Raw genomic sequence first — 22,469 nt, 5'->3', positions numbered from 1 at the left:
AAGTAATTTAAAATCTAGCCAGGTGTGGTGGTGCATGCTTTTAATCCCAGCTGCTGGGGAGTCTGAGGCAGGAGGATAGCTTGAGCCCAGGAGTTGGAGGCTACAGTGAGCCGTGATCATGCCCCTGCACTCCAGCCTGGGTGACAAAGTGAGACCCTGTCTCAAAAAAAAAAAAAACCAAAAAAAAACAGAGCCTTTCTATTCCCTTTTTGCTGAAAGACTATATCTACTGTGAATGTGGAGAACTACAGTAAACCTCATCAGGGGTGTAGTAAAATATAAGTTATGCTCTGTACTTACTCAAAAAACGTACAATCTAATTGGCAATAAACAAAGGAATGACCATGTGGACCTCCCTAAGTTAGTGAGCCCTGGTTTGCAAATAAGTGTTGCTTACATCCTAACACAGGTTTGCCTCCGCCCCACCCACACTTCCTTCAGGTGCCAAGTCCTGCAGCTTGGCAGCCCCAGAGGCCTGCTGGCCCCAGCTTTTCACCTCCATGGCCTCCTTACACAGGTGACCGCACTGGACTGGCCGGCCATGGGGGACACACTTTTGTTCTTCCATCAGTTGGGGTTGATTAATTGAAAGACAATGACTTCTCGACTGTGCTTGTTTATCTTCTTAAGTCCTCTTCCCCGCCGGCTCCCGTCCCCCTGCTTTCTAACCTCAGGAAACATTTTCATGATCAATTCATTCTCTTGTATCCTACTTTGGTAACATGACTTTTTTTTTTCTACCGCTTTTCAGCTGAGTTGTGGAGTAGGCAGAACTTTATTATCTGACCTGGGAAGCTAACCACTATGTGATACTGTTTTCTGAGGAAAATATGTTAGATTCCACATGGTAACTTGACAAACAAACTTGAAACATGGCTGTTTGAAAGCTGAGATGGTTTGTGAGAAACATTGTGAGGCAGTGTGGCGTGATTAATTGTCAGATAACACCAGTAAGTACCTTTGAGTTTAGGGGAAGAAGTGATTAGTGGCTAGAGAGGTCTGAGAAGGTTCCACTGAGGCAATGAAACTAGCTAGTTCTTAAAAGTAGGGTGGCATATAGAAGAGAAAACAGAGTTTCTAGGCATGGGAGAAGGGCAAATATGTGATTCTCAGCTGAGGCTGTATCTTTTAAAATGTTTTGAAAATACCTTTGTACAGAAAGCAACACTGGCCACACCTAAGAAAGCGATGCTTCCACTCCCCCTCCTTGCCCTCACTTCTCTTTCCCCTCTCACACAGTCCCTTTCTCTCAAAGCCATTCCCCATGTCTCCACCTCAATGGCCTGTGGTAGTTTAGAGCAGGGGTCCCCAACCCCTGGGCCATGGACCACTACCGTGGCCTGTTAGGAACCTGGCCCACAGCCAGAGGTAAGTGACAGGCGAGCTCTGCCTCCTTTGATGTAAGCAGTGGCATTAGATTCTCATAGGAGCACAAACCCTACTGTGAACTGCACATGTGAGGGATCTAGGTTGCATGCTCCTTATGAGAATCTAAATATAAATGTGATGCACTTGATTCATCCAGAAACCATCCCCTCCATCCCCATCCATGGAAAAATTGTCTTTCATGAAACCAGTCCCTGGTGCCAGAAAGGTTAGGGACCACTGGCTTACAGGAGAAATGAATGGTTGAGATATCATGGATGGGAGTAGCCTGCACTTGTAAATAGTGTAGAGGCAGAAAAAAAGGTTGGGAAAACCTTGAACTAGATAGAGATCAGGAGAAGCCAGCATTGTTTATGTTACTCTTCTGCTTAAAGGCCAATTTTAGATATTTCCTTGGGGATTTTAGTTATTTCCTGTGCCTTTGCAGGTTCTAAAATGATTCTTTTCAGACTTAGAGTCAAAGTAGCTAAAGAATATTAAATTCTGGCTGGTTGCAGTGGCTCACGCCTGTAATCCCAGCACTACGGGAGGCCGAGGTGGGCAGATCACGAGGTCAAGAGATCGAGACCATCTGGCAAACATGGTGAAACCCTGTCTCTACTAAAAATACAAAAAATTAGCTGGATGTGCTGGTACGTGCCTGTAGTCCCAGCTACTTGGGAGGCTGAGGCAGGAGGATTGCTTGAATCCGAGAGGCAGAGGTTGTAGTGAGCTGAGATTCCATGCCACTGCACTCCAGCCTGGCGACAGAGTGAGATTCTGTCTCAAAAAAAAAAAGAAAAAGAAAAACATATATATATATTAAATTCTAGCCAGGAGTGGTGGCTCACGCCTGTAATCCCAGCACTTTGGGAGGCCGAGTGGGTGGATCACTTGAGGTCAGGAGTTTGAGACCAGCCTGGCCAACATGGTGAAACCCCGTCTCTACTAAAAATACAAAAATTAGCCAGGCGTGGTGGCGGGCACCTGTAATCCCAGCTACTCGGGAGGCTGAGGCAGGAGAATCGCTTGAACCCAGGAGACAGAGGTTGCAATAAGTCGAGACTGTGCCACTGTACTCCAGCCTGGGTGACAGAGCAAGACTCTGTCTCAGAAAAAAAAAAAAAAAAGAATATTAAATTCCATTACTATCTATTTACTGGTTCAGTGATTGTGAGCTGAGGTGATATTAAAATTTCTAATCTTCCCTTGTGTTTGTCTTTCTCTGGGGCCAGTTTTATGTACATAGTCACTTGTGCATATAATTCCTAGCTGATTCAGTAAATATGTACAACTGAAGACTGAACCCTCAGAAACTGACATGAACCTGCCTTTAATAACAGTCTAAGACACTGATAACAGTCTAAGACATCTGCAATCTTGAGGGCCAGAGACACCAAAGATCCAGGTGTAACTCAAGAAACATCTTTATCCTGAGATCTAGAGATGTTTAGAAAACCTAACTGGTAGATAATTCTGCCAGTAGACTCAACCATGTCAGGCCTTGGATCCTGCAGATGATGCGTGGGCACTTGAAGAGAGCAGGGAAACCTCACCTCCACCTTCCTCATTCACTGCCCTGGATAGGAAGGGAGGGAGAGTGGTTGCCAAGGAGAAAGTATCAGAACATAGTGGGGGAAGAGATAAAGGAGATTAGCTTTCTCAAACAGTGCCCCACCAAGATTCCCGTTTCCCCCCGCCACTCCAGAAGAGCATTTTCTCACCCCATGTAAGAACCACATATTTTTTTTCTTTAGTGATGTGATGAATGAGAAGTTTTATGTCATGATAGGGTCAACCAACTCCATGGATGGTAAGGAATTGTTAAGACCATGACCTATGAAAAGAAAACTTAAATTCTGCTTTTGCAAAGTAGTTAAGAAAGGTCGTATGAAGGTAGGCCCTTCAAGCTACATTTAAACGTCGTTTCTAATGAGTTCATCTTTCGAATGCTTATTTCATTTTGTCAATAAACCATATATAAAATTAGGAATGGCAACCAAGGGTAAGATACGAACTCAAGCATGCTGATAAGGGGGGCCTAATGTAGAAATTTGGCGGACACAAAAAGCCCTTCCAACTTAAGGTTTGATTTTTGAGTCTTAAAAAATGAAGCCAGTGTGAAAGGGCCTCTTACTGGCATCACACAGAAATCCTCATCATCCAAGAGCCCTCTTCCTTGACCCCAAAGTCTTTGTTTTATTCAGGACTCATCAAAACCATAGGGCCTAAATAAAAATATTTTGTAAACAAAGTTATGGACAGCCCAGTTTTCTAATTGAAAGTCATTATGATTTCTGTGCTGTGGTGTAATTACCTAAAAAAATGTTATTTGATGATTAAGATTCTGGAGTGAATTGTGTTCTTTGGGCTCCTGCACCGTTCCTCCATCAGGGACTTGGTTTCAGCGGTGTGCAGCTGCTGGAGTTGATTTACAGTGCTGCGGCTGTGGCTGGTCATAAATAAATCCTCTTATATAGTTGTTATGAACACCTGTTAGATCATCTGTCAGCAAAGCGCTGTTCACATTTATCATGGTGCGGGAGTTATTTTACCTCAATCCATTTCCAACCGACTCGGCCTCCATCGCTGGATTACTATTACCACACCATAATCGCTTGCTCCCACTCCATGTTACAACTTGCAGATAAAAGATTTCACTACTTGGCCAAATTTCATAAATAAAGGAGCAGTTCAGTGCAGTAAAAGTTTATTTTTGTCATCATTTGTCACCCCATTATTCTATAAATCAAATGGAATAGCACTATTGCCAGCTCAGGCGTTGCTGTCAGCCCTAGGCATGGAAATGGTCCGTTTCTTCCTTTTAGATGAGATGACATGTCTTTCAGACTTAACTGGCTTATGGCTTTGTTTCACCCATTTTATTTTATTGCCCCTTCGGAAAAATCCCTGGGGAGCAGAAAGACTTAAGGAGTGAAATGGAAACAGAAAACAGAGTCTAGCATGCTGCTTAGCAGAGTGATCTATGCTTCCCCCACATCTAGTCATTAGAAACTTGACCACCGCCCTCACTCAAACACTGCACCCTTGGCTGAAGATGCTTTTCATAAACTTCCAAGGGGGTTATAGTTTCTATTTTGGAAAGGCCGTTACAATGTAGAGTTACAGATAATGAAATACCTGATATGTATCCCCAGAGATCCTCTCGATTTGACAGGCTTTATGCAAAGAAAAGACTAACTGGTTTCTTTTCTAAAATGCATTTTAATGGAGCTGAGGTTTTGAATGGGAATGGTCACCCCCAGAGAGTGTCTTACCCTGGGAGGGAGGTTTGTCGGCTGTAGAGCTTTGGAGGAAGAGTCAAGATGTATTAGCAAGTTGTAAACTCTGTCTCAGGTGTAAGTCTGAGGAAGGCAATGTCCCTTGGTTAAAAGAAAGAGGACAGAAAAAGCTAAAGGGATGGGGTAATAGAAAAGCGTTTATAGTTGATATTATACTTCCGAGTTGGTTCTAATTCAAGTTAACATTCCTCATAGTCATTATGTAGCTCATAAATTCAATAAAGTGTTTTACTGTTACTATAAAAATGACAGGAGGGGGGTTTTATGTTGTAAGTTTCGTTAGTTGCTCTTCCTGTTTTATATTGAAGTTCTCAGGCCATTATGTCATTAAACTCCTTGGAGTCTGAAGGGCTCAAGCCTTCCATTTCTTCTCTTTTGCAGACTTGGCCAAGGCAAATGTTAGCCCAGGCCAGGTCAGGTCACTAGACACTTGGAGCCAACTGGCTATGATGCCAGGGGACAGGGCTGTTTAAATCTATTATTTCATGAGAAGTGCCTTCAACCCATGCAGATGTAATCGTGAGGAGTGGAAAGGTCTGGGGTGGGAGGGAAGCTTTAGGCAGACTAAGAGTTCTAACAATTCACCCTAGAAAGAAACAGTCCGTTTGGTCAGGAGGCAGAGGAGGGCTTGCTGGATGGGGTCAGGAGGCAGAGGAGGGCTTGCTGGATGGGGTCAGGAGGCAGAGGAGGGCTTGCTGGATGGGGTCAGGAGGCAGAGGAGGGCTTGCTGGATGGGGTCAGGAGGCAGAGGAGGGCTTGCTGGATGGGGCGCAAGTAGCTTGAGGCCCTGTGGACCCAGGAACTCTTCTCTGCATCCCCAAGATTTGTCTTGGTCCTGGACTTTTTGCCAACTTCTTAAACTTCACATAGCTCTAGGTCCTTGATAAAGTTCATAGCAAATTTAGAGTTGGAATCTTATGAGAAAGGAAATACCACTCTCCTTTGGCTGTTTTCTTTGATTCTAGAAGAAGCAAAGGACATTTCTGTCCCAGGAAACTTGCCTCTCTCCAGATGTTTGTTTTGAACAGGATATGCACACGGAAACAGCAACTACTAATTCTCTGGCCAGAGTGCATCAAGGCCTTAATCCAAAGCCTCCCATCCATCCAGCTGTCTGGCATTTGCTATTATAGGGCACCAACAGAGAAATGAGGCTGTGGCTTTATCACTGCACCCTGGGTGACAACTTGATTTTCTGCTTTCACCGCAGGCAGCAGCAGCCCAACATGATGGGGCTGTTAATTTGTGCATTTCATGGTGTCTGTCAGGGGGGCTGAGAGAGGAGGGTTTCAGGGGGAAGGGAATGGAGCATGTCCCAGCCGCGGAAGCACCTGTCTGCATTGACGGCACAGAGCACTTCTTATTAGCGTGCAGGTCTCTAAATGCAGCCCGGGGATGACAGCCTGGCATCCCAGCACCCACACACTGTGACAGGCGCCGGCAGCCGGTCCCATTGTTTGCCCTTGATGAGCATGTCATTAATGGAAATAGAAGAAAGTGAGGGCCACATCAGTATTCAAATAGCCTCTATTCTTTCTGCCATTCACCCGGCTGGCTCAGCCTGCTGCAGATTTCCTTCTGCAGGCTCCTCTTAGACTTTTTTAAAAAGCAGATTTATTCCCATTGCATATAAATCCTTTCCATGTTGTTCGTGGTTTCTTCCAGTCCTGTGTTTACATCCACCGCTTTAGACTGGATTTAGCTACATCAAAGCAGATTTGGATTCTCGCGTATTGCAAAGGTCTAATTAGCAAGTGTGTGCTGTTTGCAGCCAAGAAAATGCAAGTTGCCGCTCGAGGAACCTATCTCCTATGCCTGCTGAATCCTGCATCTCCTCTCGGAAGATGTTGGCTGCTCTGCTTATCACTCTCAGAAATATCTGATAGGGCTGGGGAGCACTGAGTGTAGAAAATCTGACTTCTCCAAAACTGGCTTGTTTGGAAAACAACACTTCCCTTTCTCAAGCTTAGGAAATTTTTTAAAAGTTACGGAAAGGGCCCCATAGTGCACTTCGGTTGGAAAGAACTGTGTACTGCACGTGATTATTTACAGCCAAGTGGAGAGTGACTGGATCCTAAATACATGTTTCCGTCCCTCAGCCCCTGTGTTGGTCTGTTTGCTTAATAATGTAATTAGTGCTCAGAGGGAGAATATTGACGCTGCTGCCAGCAGGCTTTGCTCTTCCGTGCGTTTCCGAACCGTTCCTTTTGCCCACTTGGCTTTTGCATCACCTAGTTTGGTAGCTTCAGCTGTGCACCTAGCCATGCCTACTCCGCCCCACACACTCCTCAGAGGCCCCTCTCCTAATAGAAGCCCAACTCCACACTCCCCACCTGCGGGCTGTCTAGTTCTACATTTGCGAGGTTCACATCTTAAACGTTCAGATGGAATGTTCCTTGAGAGAAGCAGCTATGAAGACCACCTCTAATTTCTTTCTGACCTTTTAGTAAGGAAAGGTTGGACGTACTGCTTGCTGTGCATTTCCCTAGCAATGTCCCTTATCTGGTATTAATCTGTCAGTGACTTGGGGCCCGACTCACTAAGACACTACCCATCTTTTAATGCAGTCTTGCTGGAGGCTGAAAATGGTGCAAACTCCACTATCTGGAAATGGAACTCTGGGCTAATACCTCAGCTCGGCAATGTTTTTCCTTCTTACCCCAGCTGGAGGTGAAGACAGTAACTCTTACTAAGCTATTTTCTCCTGGAAACACAGACGCTCCCTGAGAGAGAATGAGAGAATGACCAGTGATGCCATCTCCCGTTGGCAGCGCCATGCTGTGGTGCGGCCCAGATGGGCCTCCATGGGACTGCTGCTACCCGTGGGATCACGGCCCCTCCGTGGATTTGGGGGATCTGAGAACACGTTTTCTCAGGTGTTTATCTGGCAACCTACAAAATCCCCCAGCCCTTCTCCAGTAGAAGCCCAGAAGGGTGATTATGGTTTAAAAAGCCAAGTCATAAATCGGGCTTTCTCTACTCAACTTGCTTTGTAGCTGAGGAAATCCGCAGAGAGCAATTTAAAAGGAAAAGAAAAAGGCTGAGAAAAAAAAAAAAAACCACCCAATGCTTTAGCTTTAGTGTCAGAGTGATGGAAAATAATTTTCACATTTGATTAATTATTAAGAGATCTGTTTAATAAAATATAGAGAGAGCATTTTGTCTCTCCACAATCGTTAGCATGACCCAGGACCCCTATATTGGAAGTGAACAAAAAGCTATTGAGGAATAACAATAAATTTTGTCCCCAGGGGTTTTTGCAGAAGTGGCCACAGGGCCATCCTGACAGATTTAAGACAGAGATCCCACAGCTGACACTGAAATGTGTCAAATCCAGTGGCTTCCCTTGGCAGGTCACAGTCACCAGCCTCACCCAGACAACTGGATAAAGCAAAATCATTGACCTAGAAAGAAACTGTATTGGTAGGAGTTTTTCCTTCTTGTTTTTTTTTTTGTTAATTATTTCTCTAAAATGTAGGTTTAATGTTTCATCTTCTTGGTAGCTTACTTATTTCAAACGCAGAAAGTTATCAAGGAATTCCGTTCCTTTTTTTAAAAAAATATTTTCAGAAAAAACCACAATATTTCTGCCTTTGACTCTCCTTATTTTCTTTGAATCTAAATAAGAATATCTAAAAATACCCCATTTGAAGGAACTGGATTTCTTCCCCCACCCCAGAAAAAAGAAATATAGTTTTATCTGTAAGATTAGTGTGTTGAGTCTATTTCATTCAACCTTGTGAGTTGAACATAATTTAAAGGTAGTCTTATTTAATTATATGAATGTGCATATTAATTAAAAAGCAGTTGACTAAGCATTTCAAAGTCTGGATTTGTTATGCAGTCTGATTTGTCTGTTATTTCTCACTATTTCTTGTGCTGTCCAGGCATGGCAGCAAGAAGTGATCAAAGTCAGATGTAAGGTTCAGCCTCACGTTGCTCCACAAGCTCTACCTACTTTTACATTTGCAAGGTTCATGTCTTTTATGTTCAGATGGGATGTTCCTCTGGTGAAGGCAGCAATGAAGGACCACCTCTAATTTCTTTCTGACCTTTCAGTGAGAAAGGACAAGTTCTACCCTGTGTGAGGCCCCCTCCAACCGTGTGGAGTCACTGGCTGCACCCGCCCGCCTGGTGGGGCAGAGTTGAGTCACGCCTCTGCCTCCCACCCAGGCCTGTGCCAGTGCTGCCTCGGCCTGCAGCTGTGCTTCTGACCCTTCCACCACTGCCCACCTATTTTGAAGACAGATTTTTCAACCACTTTGAAAGGAATTCCAAAGCTATTGGTCTGCAAATCTTTTCACTCTCCCAGCAGTGGCCACTCTCAGGGATGGAAAGCACAAAGGGGTGGGGTGAGGTGGGTGGGGGAGCAACCCAATCTTTCAGACAGTTACTAGTCCCCCCTTCCCCCGCCACACTACCCCTGCACCTCAGACATCTGTGGGGAGCGTGGTGTGATACGGGAGGCTACGTCCCCCAACCCCCCGCACTGTTACCTATGGCCTTAGAGAAACCTACTTTGGAACAAAACAAGCGCATATTATTCTTCTCTCTGGACCTCCAGAAAGCAGAAAGATTTACAAGAAGATCCAGAAGCAACAGGGAGAAAATATTTAAAATCTTCATCTTTATTGTTCATCTCATGCTTTTCAAACTTCTACATTTATATGTGTTTTATAATGCACTTAATATTTTGGTCCAGAGCAGTGATACATGTATGTGTACAGTAATACATATGTATAACTAGAGACCCCGTATATAATTAGTAATACATGTATATAATGTACAATCAATAGTACATGTATATAATTTACAAATAACATGCATGTTAGAATCTCAGTCAAAACCACCTGGAAACCCCAGGACTGCAGTGTGGCTCCCAGCATGCACTGCTCTGTGCCGCTAAAATACTGACCCCAAAATGCCATTCTGAGCCCCTGGTGATTTTCTCCATAACTGTGCTTTGGGAAGAGTAGGCAGAGAGGCTTCTGTTGAAGTGTGAGGAAGTATTCCCACTTCCCAGACAATAATAAGACTTACCTTGGCCTCTACCATCCCTCACCCCTTTTTCTTCAGGGCCACTTAGAAAAGAACATTGAATGTTCAGTCACCTTAACGAAGGAGCCAAAGGAGCACAGGAGGAGGGAGATCCACTCCCTGGCAGGTTCCCTGTGCAAGGACTAATTACAGCCCACTTTGGAGAAGTCGGAGGCAGGGCACAGGAGCCGCACAGCCTCTGTTGGATGGAGGAAGGAGGGGCCAGGCAGAGGGTGGGATGGCATCTGGATCCCTCTCATCAGGAGTGAGGAATGACTCATGATTCACAAAAGGTCATTGCCTACTGAGGTAGATAAATTACCTATAAGCCTTCAGCAGAGTTAGAGGACCTATTTGGTAGGAAGTTTTCATTAAATCAAAGATTTTATGGCTTCTATTTTGTTGCATAGCAAAAGGGAAATAATTAGTAATTGACAAAGTAAGTGCAGGGAATAAAAAAGTGTAATGTTATTCTAATAGGCCCTGTCTTGGTCTTTAACTTTTCACTTGCAAGCAGCATTATTTTTTAACTCAGATGTATAAAAATCATCCACACTGAGAAAGTGGAACCAATTGCAGTTAAACAATTGAGGGGAGCACTAACCAATAATGGATAGGCTTTAAAATGCCATAAATATTGTTTCTTTTTATTGTGTTTGATTTTTGATGATTCCCATAACCCACTGGTTAAAATTAAATAGACATGGTCTTAGGTATTACTCAAATACATTTTAATGCTAAACTATATAAAGCAGAATATATCTGTGCATGTGTGTACATATATACGTACGTATGTATTATTTTATAGTTTAAAAAATCCAAGGAGTGGGTATTCTACACTTAAATACTGAGGAAAGGAAGGAAGTTGGAAAGTACATATGAAAAATGCAAATATATATATATGTGTATATATATATATAGCCCTGAGTTTCTCAGATGAGTCACTGTTTTTCTACTGATATGTCTATCTTGGAAGACCCCCAGATTATAACAATAGTGACACTGAAATTAAAATTTCTCAAGGGTGAATTCAACTTAACCTATTGGGAGTATCACTGTTGCTTATAAATTAAGCAGATTTTCACAGAATAACAAACATTGGCGCCTATCAGTGAAATGTTTACTCCTTCACATGGCCACAGAGATTTCTTTTTCATAGGATTCCTGCCTTTTTAGCCCCAATTAAATCTGCTTTGGAGGGGATTTGTGCTCCTGTGAGATTCACAGGCAATAAGAAGTAAATGATAAACAAAGTTATATGGAAAATACCAAAATGGGAGAATAGATTCACACTAATTAAAATTATTTTTTAATGCTATCTTCCATAATGAAGGGCATCCTATACTTGGCCTTAGGCTAATCCTTTTTAAAGTACATTTTCTTCTTCTATCCTCACCACAGCCAGATTTGAGAGAGGCTGTCTTCATCTGCATTTTACAGATGAGGGAACTGCTACTTGGAGAAGCTACCACCTTGCTCAGAGTCAGACAGCCGGAGAGGGCGGCTGGGCATGGCCCAAGATCTGCCTGGCTCCTGAGAACTTACAAGAAATTCCTCTGCTCTCTCTCCCAGCCCTGCAGGGACAGTATGAAATGAAGAGGGCACCTAAAATTCAGACAGATAAAGTGCCCAGTACCATGCCTGGAGCTCATTAAACATTAAATTATGGACATTATTTTATATTTAAAAAAATCCAAGGAGTGGGTATTCTCCACTTAGAAACTGAGGAAAGGATGAATGTTAGATAAGAAAAACGGAAATGTTCTCATGAAAGGTCTGTACGGGGGAACGCATGTGAGGCTGCCCCGTTTATCGGCCTTTTCAAGCGTCTCCCCGGTTTCCCAAGTTCTTTATTTAATAGCATTTTAATCATGTCAGATGATGCCATTCTTAACCATTTCCCCACAAAGACTTTCCCACTCATTAATAGATTTTGCTGTCGGGGAATGTTTCTGGATAATTATTTAGCAGCTTCTCTTCTAGATTTCTTCTCACTGGAATGCCATGAATCCTGAAATGGAGCAAACAGGAGGGCGCTCGCATTTGTGACCCTCAAGACATCAGGTGGGTTCTGGCAACGTTGCCGGAAGGTGGGTGATTTACTGGCTTTACTGCCCAGTGAGTGACAGCCACTGAGTCTCCTGACCGCCCGGGGCCTCGGGTTCTTCTTGTGGTCAGGTGGGACAGCAGAGAGATGTGTGGAAATCAGGGCGAAGCAGGTCCTCCCACGGCATCCCTCTCCCACGGGACGCCAGCATCCTTCGGTGGGGCTCTGCGTGCACCCAGGGAGCGGGGCTGGGTCTCTGGGCTTTGGGCGTCTGAGGCAGGGAAACACCCTTGGTAGCCTTCGTCCTCTTCCTATATGTTTAAATCCGGGACAATCGTACGTGAGACTTCTCCAGTCACATACATAAACACCCTGATTTCTTTTCCCCTTCACTTCAAGAGTTTGGGCCTGCCCTCTGTGACTTCTACCACACAAAAAAGGTGGGCCCTGGGGGACCTAGGCCAAATTTACCAAGGTAGCAGGGGGTTTCCTGAAGCGCTGAGGACACAGGAATTCTAAAAGGCCTTTTACAGAATGTTAATGACTCTTGGGAAATCTCCTAGTTTAACTATATTGCCTCACGAAAATTAACATTGCATTAACCTCTCTATCCTCTTCTACTTTGTTTTGAAAAAGTAGCAGACAGTTTATTCTAAAATGTAACAAACATCCTATTTGTGTTTACTTTTTATGCCACCAACAATGCACTGGGTATTGAGTTGAACCAGGCTCCAAGAGAAAATACAATTAATGAATAGTCACAAGGTTGCTAATCTGATCAATGCCGGGTGATAGGACATTTAATCTGATTGTCTGTGACTGCAATTGCACAGAGCTTTGGCAGCCAAGAGGACCGCCCTGGCTGGCAAGAGCGTTTGTAGTCTGGTCACTCCTTGGGGTGGAGGTGGGGCTGGGGAGCTGTGATGTAAACAGATGTGGGGAGGAGAGAAGGCGCCCAGAGCATGAGAGGAACTGGCTGAAAGGATCGAACACAGGGAGGTGAGCCCACAGAAAGTAGGTACCTTTCATGCCAGGAATGGGAGAGACAGCCCCATTTTTTTTTCTGAGACAGAGTCTCGAAGTGTGGCCCTGGCTGGAGCGCAATGGCCTGATCTCAGCTTACTGCAACCTCTGCCCCTCCAAGTTCAAGCGATTCTCCTGCCTCAGCCTCCCGAGTAGCTGGGATTATAGGCACCTGCCACCACACCCAGTTAATTTTGTTTGTTTGTTTGTTTTAGTAGAGACAGGGTTTCACTATGTTGGCCAGGCTGGTCTCAAACTCCTGACCTTGTGATCCACCCGCCTCGGCCTCCCAGAGTGCTGGCATTATAGGCATGAGCCACCGTGCCTGGCCCACAGCCACATATTTAAGAAGATAATAAAAAAATAATCTTCATGCCCCACATCTCCTTCAGGCAGGTGTCTGGACCCCAGCACAGGAAGCCATGGGCCATGGCAGAGACTCGCACCACTGGATACCCAGGGCTGTGGCAGCAGAGGAGGGTTTCTTCCTCCTGTCCACGGTGCTGTCTTTCCTGAAGTTTCCTGAAGAATCTTCTGACTGAGAGGGTGGTCCGCCTTGTTGGCAATATCCATGGTAATCATCAGTATATATTTCCACCTGAAAACGTAGTGACCCTGCTGATAGCCATAGATTAAAACGTACCAAATGCCTAAACCCCAAGGCAGGACCTGCAGTGGTTGGGGCCAAATAACAGAGGGAGAGGGCCGAGAAATCATCCTCAGCATCTTCCATGATGCCCCCGGAGGCCGTCTGGAGGGCCGGAAATAGACCTGAAGGCAAGTCAGCCAGACTCAGCTGACTCCCACACCCTGACCTGCTGGCCCCTTGCCCTCTCAGACCTGGAGGAGCCTCTCTTGTCCTTTGTTCTTTGAGGGGTCAGTGGGAGCAGAGCTTTGTGTGGACACCAGCAGGTGGCTCAGTGTTCTCTTAAAACCATGTTTCCACCTGCAGCTGCACCATGAGGGTCTCCTCCTCCTGTTCCACTGCCAGCTTATCTTCCTTGCGGCAGGCACTGAACACCTTCCCAAGACAGGTGTGTTCTAGCCTAGATATGCAGCGACAGTGATGCAAGGCCCCTGACCTCAAGGGGCTCACATCTCAGTGGGGGAACAAGACACACCAATAAGTGTCAATCCGGGCCCGGCACCCTGGCTCACATCTGTAATTCCAACAGTTTGGGAGGCTGAGGTGGACGGATGGCTTGAGGCTGGGAGTTCCAGACCAGCCTGGGCAACACATACCTGGGCAACATGTGCAATGCCATCTCTAAAAAACACACAAAAAAACAAAAAACAAAAAAAGCCTGGCATAGTGGCAGATGCCTGTGGTCCCAGCTAATCTGGAGTCTGGGGCAGAAGGATCACTTGAGACCGGGAGGTCAAGGCTGCAGTGAGCCATGATTGCATCACTGCACTCCAGCTTGGGTGACAGAGTGGGACCCTGTCTCAAAAAAAAAAAAAAAAAAAAAAAAGTGCCAATCCGGGAACAGCCCAGAAGGTAGTTCTGTGTATGGTGACTTTTTTGAAGTCACAAGCACTAAAGGCCCCCATGATGGGGTCCCCCGTGGCCTTTTCAAAAGGTGTTTCTGGACCTCTCTTGAGGCCATGTGATATGAGTGGTTCTGGGTCCTTGTACCTGGGCACACCATAGCTTTGAACTGGTCATAGCTCCTCAGCCACATTTTGATCGATGTTTGTGCTAAGTGCACAAACCATCATGCCAATATCTGACAGATCAATGGAGCCCCCTGAATGCCAGGCTATGAGGTCAGTGGGAAGCTACAAGAGGGTGTTTGCTCAGAGCCTGCATGGGGTTCCAGTTCTCTCCCTCCATCTCCATCCTCCTGCCCCCACCACCACCCGCATGCCCCCTGCTGCCCCTAGCTGCTAAGGACTCTGTTTAAACTGTTGCGGGACCCCAGGGGAACTGGCCAGGGCTCCTAGGAAAGCCCAGGGCAACAACCCAGGAGAAAGAGCTGTTCTCCCAGCTCCCCGGGCTGCTTTGTTTGTTTCTCCCTTTCCCAGGATGTCCCATTCTCAGCTAATGAACAGTTTAAGTGTGCAGATGAGGAGGGAAACAGAGAATGCAAGCCCTGATCATGAAACAATATCAGCAATACGAGAAGCTGCCTGAGTGAAAAAACAGCTCAACCTAAAGGATCTTTTCAAATGCCTGGTTTTGTCCCGAATTTGCCTGTTTGCTTGTCCCCCTCTTTTTCCTTTTCTTTTTAAAACCATTGCAATCAAGCATGCATTAAAATATTGAGGCTGAGGGAAGTACTTCTATGAGCTATTCAAGCCCAAAAGCCTCAAAGAAGGAGGATGGGACTTTGATGGTCTAAATGATTTCCTACTAGAATAAAATTAAAAGCAAGGCAGGGAGTAGCAAACAGCACTTGCCTCTCCCGCACGCCTTGGAGCTTCGCAAATAGAGGGCAACTCTTCAGTGTTTGGTTTAGGGTGAGGGAGGAGGGTTATTATGAGAAAATGAAAAACAATTAGGTTGAGAACCGGGGGTGGGTGATTCATGGGAGTGGCTCAAGGTTGCGCTTAAGGGGGCCCTGCCTTTCCCGCTGGCGCGATGGCTGGGGGCACCGTCTCCTCTCTGAAAAGTGTGCTCCCACTCTGGCTTGTGCTGGCCTCTGCCTCCAGGCCTGCAGAGCTGAGGCTCTACTCCTCCGCAGAGTGTAAACAAACCAGAGTCCTCTCCCTGCGATAACTGTGACATGAGAAGCCATTTCTTCCTTGTTAAGTAGAAGAAGCCCACCCCTGAGAAACCTTGTTCCCAAGGCCTGTGCACTGCTAATGGAATTTTTAACTCAACCTAACCGCACCTGAAGGTAATCAGCTCTGGGCCAGTTGTGCATTCGAAGTCCCTGTCAGGCTGACAGGAGGGCAGAATTAGATGGTTTGATAACATTTCTCTCTGTGCACCCTTGCAACAATGTTGGGGCAAGTGTCCGAGGGAAGGGTCTTCTCTGGTTGTCCCTGCTCTTGCACCAAAATAGGACAACAGGAATCTACCCCTCCTCCTGATTGGAGCGCCCTCACCCAAGAGATGAGGGGTCTGGCTTTCAGAACATTACTTCCACGTTTCTCCCCCCAACCCCCCAGAAGACAGGCTGTTGAGGTTCAGGGTGTTAAAATAAGGCTGTAAAAGCTTTTTCAGACAAAGATGTATTTCTAGTAGGAAGTAAATTGTACATTCCAATTTTCAGTATTTTCACCCCAACTCTCAAGTCACAGAATGTTTTAAAAACAGTGCCCAGTCATTGAAAATGCCAGCCAGCTATTTTGAAGTTGCATTCTATTCTTAGCATGGGACAGAATCTTCTGGTAGGGAACTTTCAAGAAACAAGATTTTCAAGGAGAAGCCTGAGGCAATTTTAAGAGGGATACTCTAGCCATATGTATAACATTTTCCCCCACTCTCCTGTTTCTAATTCCATTTTAGAGGCTTGAAAATGCGTTTTTTTTCCCTTTATCAATTTTGTGTTTTTCGACTTGGCAAACATTGACTCTTTTCTGTGTCCTAAATGGAGGTGAAATTAACTTGTCTGTTTCTTAAATAAAAATAAATAAACAACTTCAGTATGTATAGATCCAGATCCTGCCAAATGCTTTTTTGTGGTATGCCAATGTCACCGAGGAATGTCAGCTCAGCACCGTGATTAGCATTTTACAACTGCTGTAGAGCCAAATGTTGAGAGAATAACAAATGCTGTTTTGGGCCCCATGAAAATTACAGCTTAAGAAATGGAATTTTTCAGTCATATAGCTGGAAAATAAAAAGCGGGAGTCTGGGATCCAGATGACTTCATTTTCAGGCAACTAACTTTAAGATCAAGATTAGAGTCTAAAAATGTATGCATGTTAATTTAGTTTTAGTTTTTTTTTTAACTTTTATTTTACATTCAGGGGTACATGTGCAGGTTTGTTATAGAGGTAAACTTGTGTCATGGGGGTTTGTTGTACAGATTATTTTGTCACCCAGGTATTAAGCCTAGTACCCAGTAGTTATTTTTCCTGACCCTCTTCCTCCTCCCACCCTTCACCCTCCCATAGGCCCCACACTGTATATTGTTCCCTTCTGTGTATCCATGTGTGCTCATCATTTAGTTCCCACTTATAAGTGAGAACATGCGGTATTTGTTTTTCTGTCCCTGCGTTAGTTTGCTAAGAATAATGGCCTCCAACTTCATCCATGTTCCTGTAAAGGACATGATTTCATTCTTTTCTATGGCTACATAGCATTCTATGATGTATGTATAGTTTTACTTTTAAAACACTTTCATCTCTAAAGGTTTGTATTATGAGTCCACTTCAGGTTTTGTGAACCCTAATTGCCAACTTAAAAAATGATATTAAGTTGAAAGCTACAAGTGAGGGGAAATATTTGCATAGCATATATCTGATAAAGAACTTGAATCTAGAATGTATAAAAAAACTTTGACAATTTATAAGACCAACAAGCCAATTAAAAACAGGTAAAAAAAAAAATTGAAACGACACTTCACCAAAGAAGATAAACAAATAGCTAATTAGCACATGAAAGGATGTTCGAAACCATTGGGTATCAGGGAAACACAAATTAAAACTACCATGAGATCTCAGTACACACCCATAAGGGTTGCTGAAATTAAAAAGAAAGTCTCTGCTAGTAAGAATGCAAAATCATACAGCTACTTTGGAAAACAGCTTAGCAGGTTCTTAAAATTGTTCCCAACAGGAAACAACCCAAATATTGTTAACTGGTGAATAAATACACAATTCCATTCAATGGAATATCATTCAGCAACAAAAAGGAATGAATGACACATGGCTACATGGATAAATCTCAAAAACATCATGCTAAGTGAAAAAAGCCAGACACACAAAACTGGATACATAGGATTATATTTATATGACATTCTGGAAAAGGCAAAATTACTGGGGCAAGAGACAGATCACTACACAGAGACAGAAGGAAACTTTTTCGGGTAATGGAAATGTTCTGTTTCTTGATCGTGATAACTGTTACACAACTGTGTACTTTTGTCAAAACTCATCAAACTGTACACTGTATACTTTAAGGGAGTGAATTTTATTGTGTTAGTTACACCTGACTTTATAAATGTGACTTTAAGAAAGACACCACCACTTGGTGTGATAGGCTGAATAAGGCTCCCAAAGGTATCAATGTCCTAATCCCTGGAACCTATGACAGACTATTACCTTGGATGGTAGAAGACACTTTGCAGATGTGATTAAATTAAGGGTTTTGAGATGAGGGGATGATCTTGGGTTAGACCAGTGGGCCCTCAATGCAATCACAAGCAAGGCAGAGGGAGCTCTGACACAGAAGAGGAGAAGGCTGTGTGGCAGGAGCAGAGGGAAGCACCGTTGGAGAGAGGAGATGCTGCGCTGGTGCCCTGAAGGTGAAGGAAGGGGCCATGAGCCAAGCAATGCAAGGAACGCAGCTCTAAAAGCTGGGAAAGGCAGGGAACAGATTCTCCCTTAGAGGATGACCCTGCCAACACCTCAACTTCAGCCCAGTGATACTGATTTCAGACTTCTGACCTCTAAAACTGTCCAGTAATAACTGTGTCTTGTTTTAAGCTACTAAATTTGTGGTAATTTGTTACAGTGGCCATAGGAAACGGATGCACTAGGGCAAAGGTCCCCAGCCCCCATGCCACAGACTGGTACTGGTCTGCAGGACCATTAGGAACCGGGCGGCACAGCAGGAGGTGAGCGGCAGGGTAGCAAGAATTACCGCCTGAGCTCCACCTCCTGTCAGATCGGTGGTGGCATTAGATTCTCATAGGAGCTCAAACCCTATTATGAACTGCATATGTGCGGGCTCTAGGTTGTGTGCTCCTTGTGAGAATCTGATACCTGATGATCTAAGGTGAAACAGTTTCATCCTGAAACCATCCCCTCCAACAACATCCATGGAAAAACTGTCTTCCACAAAACTGGTTGCTTATGCCAAAAAAGTTGGGGACCACTGCACTAGAGAACAAAATAAAATTGGAACACAGATCTCAAGGGACAGTCTTGCTCTCATTTAACATGAGGACTGATGGCATAGACCAGCATCCTTAGACTCAGTATCTGAGATGCCTTTTTAAAACTGCGTGATTCTGACCTCGCCCCTCCTTTCCCACCTTCCTTTCTGTCTCACCGTTACCTCCCTCCCTACTCCTGCCAACCTAACTCAGTCTGAATGATGGGCCCTAGGTAGCTGCTGTGGGCATAAAGCTGCTGTTCGAGTGCCCCAAACTTTGAGACACCTTGGTCTAGACAGAGCATTTTCTATTCTCATAATCATAATTCAGCACAATTGCTGCTGCTTATTTGTAGGGTTTGTTCCATGCATGGCATCTAGCAGGTACTCAGAGAGTATATTTATCTATTTGACAACTCCCTAAACACAAACCTCTCCAACAGTCTCTATGTTTGCTGAGTGAATTCCACATTCCATGATCCTTGCTATAATCCTACTCTTTTTTTTTTTTTTTTTTTTTTTTTTTTTGAGATAGGATCTTGCTCTGTCACCTAGGCTGGAGTGCAGTGGTGTGATCACAGCTCACTGCAACCTAGACCTCCCAGGTTCCAGCAATCCTCCCACCTAAACCTCCCCATCAGCTGGGACTACAGGCACATGCCACCAAGTCAGGCTAATTTTTTCTTTTATTTTTCGTAGAGACAGGGTTTTGCCATGTTGCCCAGGCTTGTCTCAAACTCCTGGGCTCAAGTGATCCACCCACCTTGGCCTTTCAAAGTGCTAGGATTATAGGCATGAGCCACCATGCCCAGCCCTAATAATCCTACTCTTCATCAAATTTTACTAAAAGCCATTGATCATTGGCCAAGCATGTCACTCATTTTCCTTTATAAATCCCATGGCTTCATTTGTGGCTTATGGATTTTAGAAGCAAACAGGCTTACAGTATCATGAAGGGGAGGCCATGCTCAACAATTGTTAAAAATTACACACACACACACACACACACACACTCAGAGAGGGAGAGAGAGAGAGAGAAATTGTACCTTTTTTTGGGTTTTTCTATATTCTATCCTTGAGATCCAGAAACCAACAAGATAAAATGCTGGCATTTGGCAATCCTCATGGTCAGCCATGCACCTCCCTCTTTGGCATCCCTCTGTCCACCAGATGCCACTTCTATCTGCCCAGCTGAAACACCATGTTGATAAAAGGGACTCCCATAACCTACTGCCAGGGCCAGCCTCCCCGCTGGGGCATGGCAGAGTCAGTTTTTACTGCAGAAGATGGGTATAGACCAACCTGAAGAGTCTTCCATATTTGGTGATAAGTTTACTGTGCTTGACTTTCAGATTGATGTAAGAAGTGTGTCAATGATGTAAAATCAATAGAGCTTGAGAACCCTCTCTGGTTGCTTCTGCTGGATGATAGCGAAGAGAAGCCTGCAAATGTCTAGGCACTAGTGCGAGGTCCATTTAATGTGGTTAGCAAAGCTGACAGTTTGCACAGTTTAAATCCTATCCAGTGAAAGCCCAAGCCCTATCAAATAACAGTTGAAAAGAAAAATGTGAGAGAGAGGAGAGAGAGGGGTAATTTTAAAGGCAGAATTACCAAACAGTTCCATTTGTATGCAGGCAAATTTATGTTTCCATGAGAATCTGCCAGGCTACTCTAGCAGTTTTAGCAATGCATTGCTCTACCCATGTTTATCAAATATTTAAACACCCCATTTTTATTGAGCCATAATGTCTGCTGAATATGTAAGCAAAAGAAGAAGGATGAATTTTCTTTTTCACAGCAAGACTACAATGGCAACTCTTTGCTCATCATCTGTTCCCATTTATAGAATAAAGTCACATTTGGATTCTCTTATTTGCTAGAAAAAAATAAATAAATCATTCTCTGTCTTCCATAAATACATATTATCTAGGTCCAAATCAATTGATTGATCTATCACAACATTAATTGATCAACGTAGCATCTGTCTGTCCATTTATTAATCTGAGAGAGAAGCAGATGACATTTAATTAGTTCCATAATGGAATAACACTTTTCCTTCAATTAGCACAGCCATGAATGTGGTAAGAAGGTTCTATTTCTTGAAAGCAAGTAATATTTATTATTTCATTGCATCAGCTCTAACAAATCAGTTTAGAGATTGAATAGCTCCTATTTAAAATGAGTATCATTGGTCAGAAATATCCATTTTGAGTATGGTGCCTATATTATAGGCTGTAAATCTCCATAGCAAATGATTGCAGCTCCTGTAAACTAAACCAATGTCCAAACCACCTTGCTCATTATGATGGAACATAATCAGTGAACTCATAAAACGATTGGAGCTGAAATCATATTTTGCACTCACAGCAGCAATGGAATAACAAATAAGCCATAGAGATGAATATACATATTCATTTTTCCTCCCCACAAAAACACACAAACCTCACTTTCTCACTTTCTAGCTGTATAAGAGTCAACACAGTGATGCTCTGAAATACAGTGACAAATCATGTTTGATGAAGGAGATGGCTTCTGCTATAGTGCTTTCCATTCACTGGGGATCAGTGGATGGTTTGTGAAGGTCTCTCTCTAAAAAGTCAGAATCATAATTCCAAGTCCAGAGGTCAGGAATTTGTTTTCATAGTGTCAAAACCATATTTTAAAGATGTAATGCATATTCTGGTATCTGTGCTGGGTGGTGTACTGCTTGTTACAGAGATTACTGAGGTTTTACAACACAGAGTTTAGGTCAAGAATGAAAAGTTTTGAAGATTTACATTTTTCTCCAGCATTGACCTTTTGGCTTTATTCCTTAATTAAGCAAAGACACGGCAGCAAAAGGGAGTATTATGGGCCTGCTGTATCCCCGGGGCGTTATGAGACACCAGACAGAGTTAAGCTATCTCAAGACAACCATGTTCTCTGGAGTTACTTTATTGCTATTATAAAAAATCTTTATTATGGGAAAATATGTATTTTTATGCCAGAAGAAGATGAAGATGACAGTTAAGCTGTTGAAAGGTAGTTTCAGTTGAGCTTCGTGCCCACTGAGATTGTAAAACACCCAAGACTAGGGGAGGCGTCCTGATGGAATCTTAAGAAACCTAAAGGGGTATATTAATCTTTGGGAAATTCATAGTTGGAACAGGGTACCATTAACTGGCACTTTCCAGTTATCAAGATATTTTATGAAACTGAAAAAAGTCCTATTACACTTGCTAACAGGGCCAACTTTGGGGGTGTGGTTAATAAAATAATCTCTTTCCAGATTGTCTTGACTGGAAGAACCTTGAGATTCTGAATCCCCAGTGATGCCTGCTGCTTTTCTTACAGGCTGTTAGCAGGGCACTTCTGTAGAAGCTTCTGTGTGAGTTTGCTTTTCTTTTACTAAGGGGGGAAAACATTATTGAAGGCTTTTTAATTGCTGCATTTTTCTTTTCCATTGAGAATCTGGCACTTTCCAATTCTATTTGCATTGTTTTTTTTTGTGTGTGTGTGTTTTTGTGTTTTGTTTGTTTGTTTGTTTGTTTGTTTTTTCAGATGGAGTCTCGCTCTGTCGCCCAGGCTGGAGTGCAGTGGTGCGATCTAGGCTCACTGCAAGCTCCGCCTCCCGGGTTCACGCCATTCTCCTGCCTCAGCCTCCCAAGTAGCTGGGACTACAGGCGCCCGCCACCACACCCAGCTAATTTTTTGTATTTTTAGTAGA

The 22,469-nt window shown here is 43.9% G+C and overlaps 2 annotated features.

Moving 5' to 3' along the window:
- Positions 11,392-11,911: an enhancer, noted in NCBI's record as "H3K4me1 hESC enhancer chr5:77284039-77284558 (GRCh37/hg19 assembly coordinates)". NCBI's record gives its function as "activates a minimal SCP1, AML or CMV promoter by ChIP-STARR-seq in naive H9 embryonic stem cells {active_cell/tissue: H9 hESC(naive)}" and the evidence as "EXISTENCE:reporter gene assay evidence [ECO:0000049][PMID:30033119]".
- Positions 11,912-12,431: an enhancer, noted in NCBI's record as "H3K4me1 hESC enhancer chr5:77283519-77284038 (GRCh37/hg19 assembly coordinates)". NCBI's record gives its function as "activates a minimal SCP1, AML or CMV promoter by ChIP-STARR-seq in naive H9 embryonic stem cells {active_cell/tissue: H9 hESC(naive)}" and the evidence as "EXISTENCE:reporter gene assay evidence [ECO:0000049][PMID:30033119]".

Source organism: Homo sapiens, chromosome 5 (assembly GCF_000001405.40).
Source record: "Homo sapiens chromosome 5, GRCh38.p14 Primary Assembly".
NCBI classification, from domain to species: Eukaryota; Metazoa; Chordata; class Mammalia; order Primates; family Hominidae; genus Homo; species Homo sapiens.
The sequence above is the reverse complement of the archived record's forward strand: the minus strand, read 5'-3'. Positions and strand labels throughout refer to the sequence as shown.